Source organism: Homo sapiens, chromosome 15 (assembly GCF_000001405.40).
Source record: "Homo sapiens chromosome 15, GRCh38.p14 Primary Assembly".
Taxonomy (NCBI): domain Eukaryota; kingdom Metazoa; phylum Chordata; class Mammalia; order Primates; family Hominidae; genus Homo; species Homo sapiens.
In genome coordinates this window covers 27,324,442-27,342,765 of record NC_000015.10, presented here as the reverse complement: position 1 = coordinate 27,342,765, position 18,324 = coordinate 27,324,442, and the positions used below count along the sequence as shown (strand labels likewise).

The following is an 18,324-nucleotide window of genomic DNA, read 5'->3' as shown; positions in this document are numbered from 1 at the left end:
CGCCTTGGTTCACACTGTGGATCAAAGACAAAGCACAGGGGAAAGGAGCTCCAAGAAATCCTACTGCAATTAAATAAGCTGTTTTCGAATAACGTCCACAATACTCTGATGAAGAATGTTCCAGCTTCTCCCCTTGAAAGAGGCATCCTTCCCGTCCCTTGGGAATGCCCTGAGAATCTGCGAACCCTTGCATTTCCACGTTTCTTTTCTCTGGAAGGTCTGTGGGAATGGAAGCAGCAGCATTGTCCTGTCTGGCATGTGAGTCCATGTTTTTCACTCCTTTATTGAGAAGGCAGTGGCCAGAATATGAATGGAGATGATACAGAACGCTGTGGAGGGGTGATGTGCTAGCAGCAGCCAGAGACACAGGCTGGGGTAGTGGAGAGAACCCTGCACTTGGACAACAAGAGCTGAGTTCACATGGTTGCTCAACCACACACTAGCTGTGTGACCCTGCACCAGCATTTGAATTCTTTCCCTAAGACTCGGTTTTTGCATCTGTAAAAGGAAATTGGTAGGTGGGGACTGGGGTCAGAATGTGCTTCCCTGAAGATCAGCAGGAAACACATGCACAGAAGAGGGATCCTCACTGTTCTTTGGCCACTGCTTGGCGCTGGGCCTGTGTCAGGCCAGTGGGAAAGCAGGACATGGCCTTGGGACTGCGATGACGTGGCAGTGGCAGGACTCTGACATGCTCACACTGAGCTTCACTCGCTGGCATTTACTCCTCTTCCAAATTAATCACCCTGGGAGAATGGAACATTGTCTCTTAAAACTCAGAAAGCCAGGCAACATTCTCAGACATCTCTGACAGCTCTGCAACAGCAGTGACATTTTCCTAATAATTTCTCTGGCTCTAATATGGCTGCAGCCAACACAGTTGTCAGAGATAAACAGCACCACATATTTTTTAATCTTCATCCCAAGTGGCGAGCCAGGGCAGAGCATGCTGCAGCCGTGTACATCTCACACTCCATGGCCTGAGTGTCTTTTGGTTCTGACTGTCCTCCACCAATAACAACAATAATGGGGTAACAATAGCCGTGAGCCCCTTTCTGGCGCGTGATATATTGATCCCGAGAGCGCAGACTTGCTGGCCATTCTGCTCTGCTCAAAGCCTTGCCCCCTGCGTGATAGGGGCAGATGACCTCATCTCTTCGTGCTTGATGTTCCTCAGCTGGGAAGGGTGCTTAAAAAAACAGGGACTTCAAAGTCAAGGTAAGGATGAAACGGGATGATGGGCTGAATGTACCTACGGAAGTGTGCAGGCTCCATTTTCTAGCACGGAGCTTCCTGCAGGCCAGGCGCAGTCATCGGGCTGACCCAGGGCTTCCCTGACACTCAGCTTGGTTCAAGTTTGATTTTTAAAGTTTATAAAAGTTTTCTAAACTTTTTGAGTGAATACATGCATCATAAACTATAACAAAAACACACAAAGAAGCTAGCGGTTAGCTCTTTTACTCTCTACCCCCAATTAATGCTAATCTTAAAACTCTGACTAGGGCAAAAAAGAAAAAACATACTTAAAAAGGCAAATAATATTTCTATCACAAAAAAGTACCCTACCATTAAATGTCTTCTCCTACACCATCGCACTAGTAAAATTAATTCTGGAAAGCCACATATAAAAACAAAACAAAACAAAAATCTGGAACTAGATAATAAATACTCGGAAGAGTTGCTGACCTGGCTAACTCTTCAGTAGTTTGAAGAAGCTTTCAGGCCTCTGAAGTCTGTTTATTTCTCAGCACAGTGTTCCAGCCATCTTGCCCTTCTTTCCCTCCAAAACACACCCCAAAACAAAAGCATGCATCATTGAATCTCTGTTCTTAAAAAACAGCTTTCAAAAAGCAAATGCTGCACAAAAGTACATAACAGAACCATGAAAGATGTAGCATAGGACTTTTTTCTTCTTAGCAAAGTCGTCCTTGCTTTACATGGTTTCTTTTGTATACTCTCCAGGGTTTGTCTGCCCCATCAGTAAGACAGCACTTTCGGATTACATTGCATGAAAAATAGAAAATGTCTGACTAGTATAAAGCAAGGAGGTGATAACCATGTGATTAGAATTACAATTGTTGCTGAAGCTTTGGTTCCATTTTTATTGACTTCAGTTTTTCCTTTATGGAAGATGTAAGAAACATGAAGGTTTTCTGACCTTGTTATTTTTGCAAAATTTGCCTTTGACAGAGCAAACGTCTCAATAATGCCAAGAACTCTCAGTGGCTCCTTCAAGTTGTTTGTACTATGGAGAGGAGAGTATGGATCATACTCCTGGTTGCATGTTTAACTCAACAGAGAGCTTGGTATTTGCAATCTTTGCACAGACATATGTACATTGGTGGGTAGATTATTTAAAATTGAGAAGTAAGAAACCCAGTATGAAAGGCTGATGGCTTAGTGAGGGTTTGGCTATTTTCTCTGCCCTTGAAAACCTTGCCTGTGTAGAATGTGTCTACCACAACTGCACTTTCTTTCCCCTGGGAATTCCAGAGGCCGCAGAGAAACTGTGCAATTATCCCTCGCACCCGCTCCTGCCCATGTAGCCACAACACTCCCATGGTTGTACGCTTTCTGAGCTAACTTAAGTGGGAATCTATAACACCTTCACCTAGAGTCCCTTCCATCATCGTATAACTTGCTGTCATTCCCACCTTGCAGATGGGGAAAGGGAGGTTTAGAGGGGTTTAGAGAGATGAAGAAGGTTCCCTGACACAAGAGGAGAGGCTAGCTGCTGTGTGATGGAACCTGAGAGATGCTGAAAGTCACCCTCACTGCTCGCCTCCCCAGCCTTCCTGCCCCAACGCCTCCTCCCTCCATCAACTCTGGGATGTTTGAGGAAGGGGCACGATGCCTCCAGGTTCACTGTTACAAGTCACGCAGGGTCACCTAAATGGAGTGAGAAGGCCATGACCTTCAAAGTGAGAAGTCCCCTTCTTATCCTCAGAAGCTGGCGTCTCTTATCAATGCTATGATCATGTTCTTAACCTCTCTGAACAAATTACGTCACTAAAGCTGGAATAAAATAACCCACCTTCAAGACTGGGCAAAAGGAACCAGCGCAATCCTGTGTACCTGTACAGTGGTTTGCCCTCTGTAGTGAGTTTCCACCAAAGTAAGGAGGTCAGTTATTGGGGGACGATACTGAAGCCCTGTTACTTCACTGTCATCTTAGCAGGAATGCACAGCCAGCCCGACTGACTGCAACCAGCAGCCTCCCATTCCACAAGGTGTGCAAGTCTACAGTAACGGGAAGCAAGGACAGGAAGGGGTGGGAGAAGGCAAGGGGTGGAGCATATGAAACAGGCAAAGCAGGAGATGATAAACATCCACCTCACCTGTGGCAGAGGCCTGCCTAGCATGGTCCTTGATGGGAAGCCTGGTTCCCAGGGCAACAGCTTGATTCTTACTCACAGGTCCAGGATGCTGGACATGCCGCAGAGCTCCCTCTAGCTGCTTCCAGAGTTTGTGGATTTAAGAAGATGCTTGAGCATTTAGGACCTTGACGTCTACATGTCTGGTAGGCTCCGCCCTCACCTGGGAAGGTGGACTTCCTTTTGGATGTCCACACCTCTTACCTCTGTGTGAGAGGACCCGGGGCCTCTGTGGACACCTTGCAGAAGCTGCCATTTAGAGATTTACTCCTCCAACTAGGAGACAGGACCCTCCTAGTTGGAGTCTCCTAAAGGAGCAGTATGCTCCTTTCCTGCCACAGCAAAAGACATGGGGGAAGGCCCCACCTGTTGGGATGCCCCACCTGGCAGTGGGCCGCCTCATTAGTGCACTTAGGCAGTAGGCAGAAGACAAGGAGATTTTGACCTGGCTTATTATAATACACACACCAGATATGAAGCATTTGGATGACTAAAGAGTGGTTGATTCTCTCCCTAGGTCACATCAACAGGAGTTTAGAATGAAATACAGTTTGCTGTACTCTATATGCTCTGCAAACAGGAAGAAAGGAGGTATTAGTGCAAAAATATACATTTGCTGGTTTGTCTGTACCTCTGCACGGCCAGTCAATATTGCAAAGCCTGATAGCAACATAGATAAATGTAGTTGTCCTGTCCAGTTCAGGCACCTTACTGTCTGGAGGGAACAAAGCTGACCATGAAACGCACATGGTGCCTCCCTGGGGGCACTGAGCACCTAACTAGGAGCATGGTCCTCCTGCGATGCATGGAGAATCTTTCCCCAAGTCAACACTCTGCACAGACCTGTGGCCTGGAAGGATGCGAGTGCCGTGAACCAGCGTCTGAATCAAACTTAATAGCAATGAACTTAACCTCAGGACCACAGAACCACCACATCAGGGGACTTGATCATCTTAAATCGGTTTCCATTGCCCTTTGGTTTTCTGGCATCTCCTCATAGCAAGTATGTTTAAAAAGAGAGATGGAAAGAATGCCTGGGGTGGGGGGCATCACTGCAGGGAGAAGGAGCAACCACAGGTCTTTCCAGCACGTTCCTGGTTAACAGCACGTCCACAAGAAGTGTGTTGATGGATAACTTTTAGGGTACCAGTATCAAAAGCAGCAGGTGATGCGGACATGTGTTTCCATTTCCTGAGGCGGACAGGGCTTATTTTCAGACTGGCCCCACTCAAGGGCAGCCTGAAGCGCTGACCCCACATTCCCGACCAGCTCGGGCACATGAATTAATAGCAGAATCTCCCCCAAGGAGGAGCCGAACAGTAACAAACAATGACTAGTATTTCTTAGCTTTAAGACTCCCCTCGCTCCATATTTAGTGCTGAATTATCTATTAATAACAGTCCTAGTTGATTCAGAGACGGCGTTGCACTTGAAGGTATCTTCCTCCCCTTCTCTAGCCTGTGTTCCAATAGTGAATGTATAGGAAGGGGTTTAGAGAAGCACGGGTGGTCTGGAACTTTTTGAATCACAAGGCTTATTTGTGTGTGTGAGAGATTTAGTTTATGCACATACAAATACATGCATATTTGCATAGATTTTATGGCTTTTTTTAGGTTAGTCAAGACATCTCATAGTTGGATTTCAAATCTGGAACTGAGAGACTAGAGAGTGCAGAGCATGTATAAAGAAAGACGCTGGAAATAAACAGGGAGAAAAAATGGGAAAAGAGGAATGAAGAACATGACTGATACTAAACAAAATCTAGGGTTTTGAAGATGTGCATCTTGTGTGAAGACCTCTGCGTGGGTCTCAGACTGTGCTTTCCAGCAGCACGGTGGCCTTGAGAGGCAATAGGCTACTGAGCTGTGAAATGTGGCTGCTCTACACTGAAGTGTGATGTCATAAAACACACACTGGTGTCTACGACTTAGCATAAAAATATCTCAGGCTATTTTATTAAAATAGTTCATTGATAATTTTTCATATTGATTGCATAGCAAAATGACAATATTCTGTATAGACTGTATTGAATAAAATGCAGTAAAATTAACTCCACCTGTTCCCTTTTGCTTTTTATAATGAGACTCCTAGAAAATCTAAAATTGTATCGGTGGCTTGCATTGTATTTCAATCAGACAGCTATGATTTAAGAAATATTGTAAAAGATACAAGAAGTGTTCATCTGAAAATGAAGACATTTAGAACTAAGCAGACCATGATGCTACTCAGGGAATAAGAGGAAAGTGTCTGCAAGTTTGAAAGAGAAGCAGAACAGAGGAAAACCAATACAGATCACCTTGTAGAGTACTGTCATTTTAATAATATTTAGTATTTCAGTTCAAGAACACAAGATGCTTTTCTACTTATTTAGGTCTTCTTTCATTTTTTAAATAACAGAAGACACTTAACAACTCCACCTTAGCTCTCACTTCCTGCTTATTTTGAGAATGTTATATAAATGGGATCCCACATATGTGACCTTTGGAGACTGGCATTCTTCACTCAGCTTCGAATGCTGTTGCAGACCAAGTTCTTGCATATATGAGTAATTTGTTTTTCTTGTGGAGTAGTCATCCATTTTAAGGATGTACCAACAGTTTGCTTAACCATTAACCACTGAAGAACATGAGGGCTGTTTCTGGTTTGAGGCTATTAAGAATAGTGCTACTATGAATATGTATACATAGATTTTTGTGTCAACATAACTATTCATTTCTCCACGATAAATGCCCAAGCTTGCAATCGCTAGGTCATATGGTAAGTACAGTTTTAGTTTTATAAGACACTTCTGTACTATTTTCTGTGTCATTCTACATTCCCACCAGCAGTGTATCCAGGTTTTCCACATCCTTGCCAGGATTTGATGTTCCCACTATTTTTTTATTTTAGCCATTCTAATAGGTATGTAGTGATAGCTTACTGTGGTTTTAATTTACATTTACTATTAATAATAGCTGATGACATTGAACATCTTTTCACATGCAGATTTTCCATGTAAATATCACCTTTGGTCAAATGACTATGTCTCTCACCAATTTCTTCTTTCTTTCTTTCCTTTTTCTTCATCTTCTTTCTTTTCTTCTCCTTCTCCTTCTTCTTTTCTCTCTCTGTCTCTCCTTCCTTTCTTTCTTTCTTTTTCTTTCTTTCTTTTCTTCTCCTCTCTCTCTCTCTCTCTCTCTCTCTTTCTTTCTTTCTTTCTTTTCATACTGACTCTTGCTCTTGTTTCCCAGGCTGAAGTGCAATGGCACGATCTTGGCTCACTGCAACCTCTGCCTCCAGGGTTCAAGTGATTATCCTGCCTCAGCCTTCCAAGTAGCTGGGATTACAGGCATGCACCACCACACCCGGCTAATTTGTTTGTTTGTTAGTAGAAATGGGGTTTCACCATATTGGTCACGCTGGTCTCAAACTCCTGACCTCAGGTGATCTGCCCACCTCGGCCTCCCAAAGTGCTGAGATTACAGGCATGAGCCACCACGCCCAGCCTGTCTTTTACCCATTTCTAACTGGATTGTTTTGTTGTTGTTCAGTTTTTAGTATACATTTAAAATGTGATTTAAAAATCCATAATATAAAATGTATCATTTTAATCATTTTCAGTGTACAACTCAGTCATAGTAAGTACATTCCCAATGTTGGGCAGCAATCGCCACTCTATTTCCAGAACCTGCTCATCCTCCCACACAGAAGCTCTGTGCTCCCCTCGTTCTCTCCTCCCCCCACTCCCTGGTCCCCTCCACTCTGCTTTCTCTGTGAATCTGCCTACTCTAGATACCTCATGGAGGTGCAGGCATAGAGTACTCATCCCTTTTTTGTTGGCCTTATTTGACTTAAATGATGTTTCCAAAGGCATAGCATGCATCTGAACATCCGTGGTATAGCATGTATTAAAACATCCTTAGTCATTAGGGAAATGCAAATCAAAATCATAATGAGCTACAATTTCTCATCCACTAGGATGGCTGTTATCAATAAAAAGGGAAAAGATAACAAGTGTTGGTGAGGATGTGAAGAGACTAAAATCTTTGTGCATTGCTGGTGAAAATGTAAAGTGGTGCAGCTGCTGTGAAAAACAGGTTGTCATTTCCTCAGAGAATTAAATATAGAATTATTATATGGTCCAGCAATTCCACTTCTAGGAATATACCCGTAAGAACTGAAAGCTGGGACTCAAACAGGGTCTTGTCTACCAATGGGTATAGCAGTCACAACAGTCAAAAGGGGTCTTGTCTACCAATGGGTATAGCAGTCACAAAAGTCAAAAGATGAAAGCAAGCCAAGTGCCCATCAGAATATGAACAAACAAATCACAGTATTGCATATGATATAATATTGTTCAGTCATAAAAAGAAATGAAATTATTTAAGAGGTATTTATATATCACAGATTCAAGCCTTATCAGATTTCTGGTTTGCAAGTGTTTTCTCCCAGCCTAATTTGCCTTTTCAACCTCATGACAAGCTTTTGGTAGACCAAAAGTTTTCACTTTTGACAAGGTCTCATTTATCACTTTTTTGTGGGGGCAGGGATCATGCTTTCAGTGTCAAGTATAAATACTCTTTGCTAGCCTTAGTTCGTGAATATTTTTTCCTATGTATTTTTTCTAATATATTGTGTTTTTATGTTGACTTTAGGGCCTCAATTCATTTGGAATTAACTATCGTATAAGTTCAAGCTTATTTTTTTGCCCATAGACATCCAACCGAACTTCAGAAATCATTTACTTGTTGTTTGATAGAGTAATGATATATGCTACTTGCATACTTCTCATACCATAGCATTTTAAAGATAAGGTTCAAGACACGCTAACAGCAGCAGTGCCATGCATTAGTGTGACCAGTGTCCCAGGATTTAACATTGCACAATAAAGAGTCAACAGTGGGGTACTAATTATTTTACTGTTGAAAGTTTAATTAAAGGAATGGCATCTCAACTTTGGGATTTTAATCTAGTACATAATTTAAACAATTGCCAATGATCATTTATTTTGCATATATAATTTTCTATATCTCAAACTAAACAACAGAAAGAGATTATGTCGAGGTCCGGTGAACCCCTATATTAGCTTACAGAAGTGTATATGCATGTGTGTGCCTGTGTGTGTATGTGTGTGAAGAGATACCTCTCTTTAGAAAAAATAATGGCATAGAGTTGTAAAACTGGCATTCTTAACATTTTGTCATTAATTTTTTAGTTGACTTAAAACAGATTATGACATCTATGTATATTGCATCGTTTAGTTAAAGGTATATACTGCAGCTATACTAAGCTAGACACATTAATTTTTCAAAGGCAATACAACTTTTGGAAGTGAAATCATGAGTAAAATAAAGCTCATACTAATATATATTAACCAATCAGCTGGACAAAAAGAAACATTTATTTCATAATGCTGACATTTAATCAAAAGAAAACCAAGAAGAAAACAAATTATTTTCAAAACAACTTAAGGAATGAGGAACTAAATGACCAAAATTTGTATTTTGCCTTTTTATTTAATTTTTTCCATAAAATATATTAAGACACAGATTAAACAATACAGTTTGTCATAATTCACTGGGGAATGATTTTTCCTTTTAGTGAAATGTATTTTGGGCTTGTTCTGCTGTGTAGATTCTCCTGACAATCTGAGAATTGTGAGTGGCATATCGACCAGGCAGGTTCCCAGGTCTTGGAATGCTCTGAGTGACTAGTACTCGTGGCAGGCAAACTAGTAACCAGCAAGGACGTTCACTTGCTCAACCCCAGAACCTGCTACTGTGTCACTTTACGCGGCAGAAAGGACTTCAAAGATGTGAGTAAGTGAAGGATCTTAGATGGGAGATCATCTTGGCCCATGTGGGTGAGCCCAACCTAATCACACAGGTCTTCAAAACCAGGGGAGCTCTCCTGCTGTGGTCTAAGAGAGATATGACAACAAAAGTGGGATCAGAGAGAGGTGCTGTTTTTGGCTCCAAAGATAGAAGAAGGGGACCCACGTTATGGAATGCGGGCGGCCTCTAGGAGCTTGAAAAAGGCCGGGGCACAGATTCTCCCCCAGAGACTCCAGGCGGCAATGGTGCCCTGCCCACACCTTGATTTTAGCCCAGTTCAGATTTGTGATCTACAGAAATGTAAGATATTAAATTGATGTTGTTTCAAGCCACTAAGTTTGCAGTAATTTGTTGCACGAGTAATAGGAAATGAATAAAACAACCAATGCTGTTTGCAATTGAATATTCTTTATGGTTCAGTTTCTATGAGTACACTAAATACACAATTATGGCCAAGTTCTGGACACTAAAAATGTTTGTCCAAGAGTCCATATCAAAATCACTTTTAATTCATCCATATAAGTAATTTAAAATTTAGTTTTAATAATTTTAACAAGTTTAAATAAACTAATAACATTACCTTTTAAACTACATTTTAGGAATTTTTAAAATGTGATCCTTAACCACAATGACTACAGAAAGTGCTATAGGAAATTTTTAATTAATTAAAATATTATTTCAAAAATCTCAACTATTTAAAACATAAAAATCAAAGTTATTACCCAAACATGTTATATAGTAAATGTTACCACCTCATCTCTGTGCATATATTGGAAACTCAGAGAGCCAAGACCAGCCTAAAAGTTGTTACTCAATTTTATGATCACTTTATATCTTACTGTACATTTTGGGCAGTTTTCCTAACTTTTATTTGTATGATAGTGAATATAACAAGTTGTTCAGCTTTGTTACTATAAAATTTTTAAGTGGAAAAATACAGCTTCAGAGTGTATTTAATTGAAAAATACCAGGACATTGCAAGGTTAACTGTTCACAAACAGGGACACCACTTCACTTTCTTTTCTTTTCTTCTTTTTCTTTTTTTTAGACAGAGTTTCACTCTGTTGCCCAGGCTGGAGTGCAGTGGCGTGATCTCGGCTCACTGCAACCTCTGCCTCCCGGGTTCAAGCGATTCTTCTGCCTCAGCCTCCCAAGTAGCTGGGATTCTTCTGCCTCAGCCTCCCGAGCTGGCACATGCCACTATGCCCGGCTAATTTTTGTATTTTTAGTAGAGATGGGGTTTCACCATATTGGCCAGGCTGGTCTCGAACTCCTGGCCTCGTGATCTGCTCGCCTCGGCCTCCCAAAGTTCTGGGATTGCAGGCATGAGCCACTGTGCCCAGCCCACTTCACTTTCAGTTGCTTATTGGTATTAGGATTGGCCTCTTCCTGAAAATGGACACCCATCATGTGGAAACAACTTAGGTACCAAACTGATTTAGATGCAAGTATCCTCCATCACTCCAAATTACCAATGAGTGTTTTCATTAGGACAGTGTTATTATTCTCATTTATGAATAGTGAATCCTATACATATGAATTAATGCTACACATGTAAAGTGGTTCAAAAACTTATACTTTAAAGCACTGTTTTATATTTTGGGCATCCAAGTTTTTTTTTTTTAATTTGATAATATGGCTCTATCAGAACATTTTGGTTTATGATTGCAATAGATTCCTAATTGATTTCTTTACCTCCAATAAGTTTTTACTAGACTTTTAAAAAAGAAGCAGGTTTAGGTTCACAGAAAAATTGAGCAGAAAGTACAGAATTCCCAAGTACTCCTTTCCCCAACTGTCAACATCCCCCACCAGAGTGGTCCATTTGTTACCATCAATGAACCTAGGTTGACACATCATTATCACCCAAAGTCCAGGGACTGATTTTAGCATTCATTCTTAGTGTTGTACATTCTATGGGTTTGGACAAATATGTCCAACATGACAGTATCATACAGAATAGTTTCACTGTCCTAAAACTCCTCCCTCTGCCCACAACCCCTGGCAACCACTGACCTTTCTATTGTTTCCGCAGTTTTGCCTTTTCCAGAATATCATATAGCTGGAATCAGAGTATGCAGCCTTTTCAGATTGGTTTCTTTTACCTAGTAAATATGCATTTAAGTTTCCTACATGTCTCTTTATGGCTCGGTAGCTCCTTTCTTTGTAGTGCTGAATAATATTCCATTGCATGAATATGCCGTGGTTTGTTTATCCATTCTCTTACCAAAGGACATCTTGGTTGCTTCCAAATTTTGGCAATTATGAAGAAAGCTGCTATAAACACCTGTATGCAAGTTTTGGTGTGGACATAAGTTTTAATTCATTTGGGTAAATGCCAAGGAGTGCAAATTCTGGATCATATAGTACCAGTATGTCTACTTCTGTAAGAGACGACCCAGGTGTCTTCCAAAAGGGCTGTGACACTGTGCATCCCCCCAGCGATGAGTGAGAGTTCCTGTTGCCCCACATCCCCACTGCATTTAAGGTTGCCAGTGTTTCAGATTTTTGCCATTCCAATAGGTATATAACTGTGTACACCCACTTTTGCTCTTATAAGATCTTTCATACTATTCCTGAACATGAATTTGATCCTGCCACTCCCTGATTTTCAGATATGATAATTTTTCTTTGCTCATGCATTGAAGGTGCCACTTTCTGACATTATATATAAGACTGTCCACCCCCTGGCTCCTACATTCACTCTGACCACCCATCACTACCACGACACACCAGAAATAGGGAAATAGATGTGGTTGGTCACACAAACCATTTTTACTACTATGCCAGATTTCTTCCTAGTACTTTATGCTCATTGCCAACTAATTCCAGAAAGGCATTCACTTTCATGTATTTCCCTGAGTACTATGTGTGAATTGTCTTTAAGAATTTAAATTATTTTATTTCTATAAAAATCTTTTTAAAACAATTTATACAAGCACTATTCTTTCTGGCAGCATTGTGTAAGTCCATGTGCACACAATCCCCTCCTGGAACTGAGCACTTAAAAGGCTCTGTGAATGATTTAAACACATTTTTACAGTATGACAGAACAAGGGAAGCTATTACAGAAAGAAATAAGGTTTCCAGTGAGAACACGTGCATGGTGTGCAGAGCTCTGCTGGTCTCTGGATCTGGACCTGGGCCTCCACGGGCCGCACACTTGCGAGGAGCAGAAGCAAAAGTAAAATAAGCGATGAACATATTTTACATTTGAAGGTTCAGGGAAAAATCTATAACATTCAATGAAGAAAGCCACAAAAACTTCTACATGAGATTTCATCAGATTTGTCATGTTCCATATGCAATTTTATTTATTTATTTATTTATTTATATTTTGAGACAGAGTCTCCCTCTGTCACCCAGGCTGGAGTGCAGTGGTGCGATCTCAACTCACTGCAACCTCTGCTTCCTGGGTTCAAGCAATTCTCCTGCCTCAGCCTCCCAAGTAGCTGGGACTACAGCACCTGCCACCACGCTCAGCTAATTTTTTGTATTTTTAGTAGAGACAGGGTTTCACCGTGTTAGCCAGGATGATCTTGATCTCCTGACCTCAGGATCCACCCACCTCGGCCTCCCAAAGTGCTGGGATTACAGGCGTGAGCCACCACGCCCAGCCCCATATGCAATTTTAAAGAAAGCCAATACAATAAACTGAATTCTTATGAGTCATACATAAGTACTTGTGATTAATTCATTTAAAATGCCCCATTGTAAATTCATTCACCAGATATCTTTCCATTTTGATTTTAACTTAAAAATTGTATAAATAGATTTGATATTTGATATTCCTTTTATATGTACTCTTATACTAAGCAGTAGATGTTGTCTTTAAGAACTTGTAAAGGATTAACTGTGATATCTACCATAAGTAAAATGTTGGAAGATAAAATACTACGAAAAATTAAATCATCTTACAATGGTTCAATGAGACAAATATAAGTAAAATTAAAGAAAAATTTGTATCTTTCTACTTGGTAGACAAATCACCTTACTTTAAAATAATGTTAAATCAGCTGGGCACAGTGGCTCACATCTGTAATCCCAGCACTTTGGGAGGCCGAGGTGGGTGGATCACCTGAGGTCAGGAGTTTGAGACTAGCCTGACCAACATGGTGAAACCCTGTCTCTACTAAAAATACAAAAGTTAGCTGGGTGTGGTAGCACGTGCCCATAGTCCCAGCTACTTAGGAGGCTGAGGCAGGAGAATCACTTGAATCCCGGGAGGCAGAGGTTGCAGTCAGCTAAGGCTGTGCTACTGCACTCCAGCCTGGGCGACGAGAGCAAAACTCAGTTTCAATAAATAAATAAATAAAAATTAAAAATAAATTTAAAAAAGATAATGTTAAATCTAAAATATTACATAGGAATTTTGTATACTTCCAAATAGTATGCACAGCTCATTAGCATAAGGGTCTTTGGTAAATCAATGGTTCATCAGTTTCTGAATCCTTCCATGTCAATGGTCAAGTTGCTCACAGCCTTATCGAGATCACCTATTTTGTAACATGGCTCCTATGTGACAAGGTCTAGAGTGAAAACACCCAGGTGGTCAATACTGAAACCATCATCAGTTTTCTCTGTGTGTGCAGGGACACTGTGATCAATCACATGACTGTTTGACAGAAGCAGTACCAGGCTAGGCATCCCTCACACAGCATGCACACCCCGGGCTTGGACTGGTACTCACAGCTGGAGAAAATCAGCGGGCAGGAGTGTTCGTCCATGGGGAAGTTGTGCAGCTGCAGCTGGCACTCAGCATTGATGGTGAGCCTGCGAAAAAGCCAAGTGTCAGTCTAGCTCAGCACACAGCACAGGGCAAGGCCGGCGGCCGTTACGGCACCCCATGTGGGGATGGAGAGGGCCGTTCCGTCACCCAGGGCAGCATGTGCGGCTCACTCTTGGCCCGGGAACCATTCACGGTGAGACTGTGCTGTGTTGCTTTCATGTTGGGTTATTTTGTTTTGCTTTTAACTATCAGTGGCACAGAGAATTCCAGTTAGTAAAATTCCAACTGTGTCTAGAAATACACGCCAAGTCAGAGAGGAGACAAAACCAACTGTTGTTTTATAAGTTGTTTTCAATCTGTTTGAATTAAATCCTTCCTCCATTTGGAAACTGGTGTGTTTATCTAAACAGCTATTATGCCAAATTAATGCACGCATCGGGGGGGATTTCCTGTTTGGACAACTGCCCCTCTTTCACTAGGCAGGTGGTAGCTCTGCCAAATGGGGGCCCTGCATCCTCCCAGGGCAGCAGCCCCATATTTCAGTGTCTACACGGGGTTCCAGAACTGGCCAGGTCTTCGCCCTGGCTTGCTGAAGTTCCGTGTCATGTCAGAGTCTCCGGTGTATGGCTTTACAACTGATGAGGAGACAACTTCTACAAACTCCAGCTCGCAATGTTTTTCATCAGCATGGTTCCCAGCTGTGGCGTGTTTTTTTTTTTTGGTTTTTTTTTTTGTTTGTTTGTTTTTGCTGTAATTGTTCCCTCCCTGGCAAAATGAGGATTTCCCTGAAACTTTAATGCTGTCTCACAGTCTGCTTATTTTAATGTCCATCTGCGCCTGTGTGGGTGCTGTGGACATTTATTTAATGTGAGGAATCAGATTTCTCCTTGTGGGAATTCTCAGTACGCACATGGCTTTCATTCTCAGGATGGATGAGCTAAGCCAGCAGGGATGGGTAAGGAGAGTAAAGTGACAGGGGTCAAGCCCTGAGGCAGAAAGAGCAGAGTGGGGAGATGCAGCCACAAAGCAGGTGCAAGAAGGAGCCCTGTGCCCCGGGGCAGTGAGAGTGAGCCCATGACAGCAAAGCCTAGATGCACCCAGGGCTTCTGAGACCTCAGGAAGAAGGGAGTGCAGTGTCCTCTGGAGCAGCACCACCCGCTCAGAGGACACTGCTGGAGGGACCATCCAGTCCCTGTGCTGGGCGAGCAGACAGGAGTGCAGAGGGCCCGTCATTGCTAGTGCTGTGTTGCTGTGTGTTCAGTTAGACTCTGACCATCCCAGTGGAGAGACCTGGGAGAGACAGGCTCCCAGTGGTGACTGTGGGCGAGTCAGTTCCCTTCTTGGAAGCTCAGTTTCCCTTACCTCTCTGGGTTTCTTCGAAGACTTCCCTGACTCCAGGAGGACACACTCCAGGGGAGCTGCCACTTCCCTTAGGGATGTGCTGGGAAAGGGGCTGACTCTGCCCCTCTTCCTTGTGGTCTCAGATTTACTCTAACTACATTTGTTGATTAGTGCACCAAGACATCTGTATTTTCCTAGGGGAGAGGACCTATGGTGTAAATCTATTAAGAATAACTTTCACAGCCTACTTCCAGCAGAAATAGATTCTGAAGAAATGAACTTATATTCTCTGTGGATCATCTGTATGCTTTTATTTTTACACATGTTGCATGAGGGCAGACTTTCTCAGGATGCTGTAGTATGTCTCACGTGAAAGAGAATAGACTTAGAGATGAAAATAGGGTCTCATTCCTACAGTGATTCAAATTAAGGATCCCATTTTAAACCAGGAGTAATCAAAGATCGATGCAGCATCTTACCTCAAAGTGTAAAGGATTTTCCCGTCATTCCAAATCCGGAGGAGCTGATTGGGTGTGGTGATCCAGTGAGCCTCTGCGGTTTTAGAATTGCGGAAGATGGTGTCTGGGATCCAGATTAACCCCACCATGTTGCTGTTCAGAGTAAGAATTTTCATTGTGCTGTTGAATCGAAGGCGACTATCTGTCCAGGTCTGAGCAAAAAATATGTCAATTTGGTATTCCTGAAACAGAGCAGAAGGAGAGGCAAGACAGTTCTATTAATAAATGTTCTGTATAATTTGTTCTCTTTGTCAAACGTTGTGTTCTCTCCATGTTGACATCCTCACCTCCCCAATTCTCTTTCTGATAGAGACTGGTTCAACATGGCAAGCACTCAGTGAATGATGACCAATATTATTTGTCAACAGTGTAGTAACATTATGTGACATACTATAAATCTTAAGTTCCAATAAATATACAAAGTGTGAAGAGGGGCTAAGAGAGACAGTAGAATCTATTTCAGGGTGTGGAGGCAAACCCTAGGCTCCCAAGTCCAAGCCTTGACAGGTAGCAGGACCTATTGGAGCCTCTGTTCTCTGATCTATAAAATGGGGAACATAATAGTGTCCACCTTCTCAAGGTGTTAACGAAGATAAAAGGAAGTGATTAAATGAGCACCCTTAGTGCCTGGCAGAGAGTAAGTGATCCATTCATATTCATTCATATAATAGTTATGACTATTTGTACTTGAGTCTTCTCAAGCAACAAAAAGCAAAACAAAAAGAAAAGTAAGAAATAAAATACAACAAAGAACTGTAGAGAGGACGGCCACCCAGCCAAATGCCAATTCCAAGAGCAGGCTGAAGAGGTACAAATTACAGAGGCAAAGGCCCAGGGTTGAAGCCACTGCAGTGTTCACGGTGCCCAGTAAGACTTTGTGCAGCCATCAAATGGTTAGGATAGGACTGATTCTATCCTAGGGGCACTCTAGGAGACCCAAAGAAGTGCCTGCAGACTGGGCTGCCTCAGAGGCCACTCCCCTCATCACAGTTTAAAGAATTATTTTAGGTTCATGGTAAGAAGGATGTAGAGGCTGATTGTAAGGGATTTTTATATCTTGCATAATTTTTGTTATGTATTAGATATTATAAACATATTACTTTTGCAGAGTCTGAATTTTTTGATTCTCAACAAATCTCATATTTACCCTTTCCACTGAGTTTCCCATTAAAGAATCTTTCTGTGATAGGTAATTCAATTTCAGGTTTATAATTCAACTGGTCTTTCATTAACTAATGCATTCATTCATCATTTCTTTGCTTCACTGAGTATGCCAGGCTTTTCAAAGCAAGGAAGACCCAGCACTGTGCCAACAAGAAACCCCCTCCCTCCTAGAGCTTATATTCTATCCAGGGAAGATGGGCCTTAAATAAATAGGTTGGTGGTCATTTACACTGCACACAAAAATAAGGCTGGTGTATTATTAAGGATTCAAATTAGAGGAAACAAAAGGTATCCAGGCATCCAGCAGAGGAGGAATTATGGAACAGGCAATGTGAGTCTTGCATAAGCATTTGTGCAGTTGGGGGAGCAAATGGCAGGAAAGCAACAGCTGGGAGCAGGTTCTCAGCGAGCTTTTCCAGAAGCCTCTCATGGCTCAGCAGCCATGGCAGGTCACATGTAGCATCTCAGCAACCAGATGGACCCTCCCAAGTCCATGTGTCTGTCTGAATGTGCCCTTGGGGATGAATGGCCTCAGCCTTGTTTCTGCCTTCCGAAACTTGGCATGCCTCTCACTGACAGACTCTGAACCCAGAGCCACACAGTGAAGGTGTGTGTGTAAGTGTGTGTGTGAGTGTGTGCATGTGTGTGTTTCTGTCATATAACCTAGCATGTGCTGACTGATACAAAAATGGGGTTCAAAGAGTGGTGAAATGAAACGAAAGCAGGTAGCATTGATGCTTAGAGCTCAGGAATGTGGGACTGGAAGCCAGACGCCTGGTGTCATGCATGGGTGAAATCTCTAAGGGGACTTTGCAGTGCCAAAGTCCATTGAAACAACCTGGCAGAAATAATCACACCCATTGCTAAAGCCTCTAAATGGATTAGGCTGCCACCCAGTAACCTCTTTAATTATGCAAATATGGCTCAAGGGAAAGAAACTAAGGTGTGGCCCTTCCACTGAAAGCTGTAGGGCCCAAATACCTATACTTCAGAGAGAAAGGCTCAGAGTAAAGCCCTGGAGAGGGAGAGGTGCTGGCCTGCAGAAGCAAAGATGCACAGCAGCTCTTGGCATTGCACAGAGAAAGAACTCTGAATGTGGCTGTGCACATGTGAAGCTGGCCTCAGGTAGAAAGTTGGCTCGGTTTTAAGGAAGTTCTGCCAAAGGAACCACAAGTCAGGAAGAAAAATGACTACTTGAGATTGAATGGTACCGTTGCCTGCCTGTCTTTCATGGGCAAATGGCAGCCTCTGCTTGGACCCCAAAGGAGGTGTATTATCCAATGCCCACTTTACCATGGCAAAAATGGTTAATGGAAAAAGAATATATTCCCAGACAATGGAGGCAAGAGTAAGAGTGAAAACATACCTCAGGGGCCCCACCCTAG

At 42.2% G+C, this 18,324-nt stretch overlaps 1 protein-coding gene and 1 pseudogene across 2 annotated transcripts in view, besides 1 other annotated feature; both read right to left on the bottom strand.

Moving 5' to 3' along the window:
• Positions 1-18,324, bottom strand: part of GABRG3 (gamma-aminobutyric acid type A receptor subunit gamma3) — a 570,804-nt gene that overhangs the window by 199,219 nt on the left and 353,261 nt on the right. For both annotated transcript variants that reach the window (NM_033223.5, NM_001270873.2), the window contains exons 4-5: positions 15,737-15,957; positions 13,878-13,960 (exon numbers count right to left, since the gene is read on the bottom strand). In NM_033223.5, coding sequence (NP_150092.2) covers positions 13,878-13,960; positions 15,737-15,957 — 304 coding nt within the window. The remainder of the gene's footprint in view (positions 1-13,877; positions 13,961-15,736; positions 15,958-18,324) is intronic.
• Positions 800-1,999: an enhancer, noted in NCBI's record as "BRD4-independent group 4 enhancer chr15:27585914-27587113 (GRCh37/hg19 assembly coordinates)". NCBI's record gives its function as "activates an origin of replication core promoter dependent on BRD2, P300/CBP, MED14 and CDK7 cofactors, and independent of BRD4, by STARR-seq in HCT116 cells {active_cell/tissue: HCT116}" and the evidence as "EXISTENCE:reporter gene assay evidence [ECO:0000049][PMID:35650434]".
• Positions 1,524-2,240, bottom strand: SERPINE4P (serpin family E member 4, pseudogene; annotated as a pseudogene).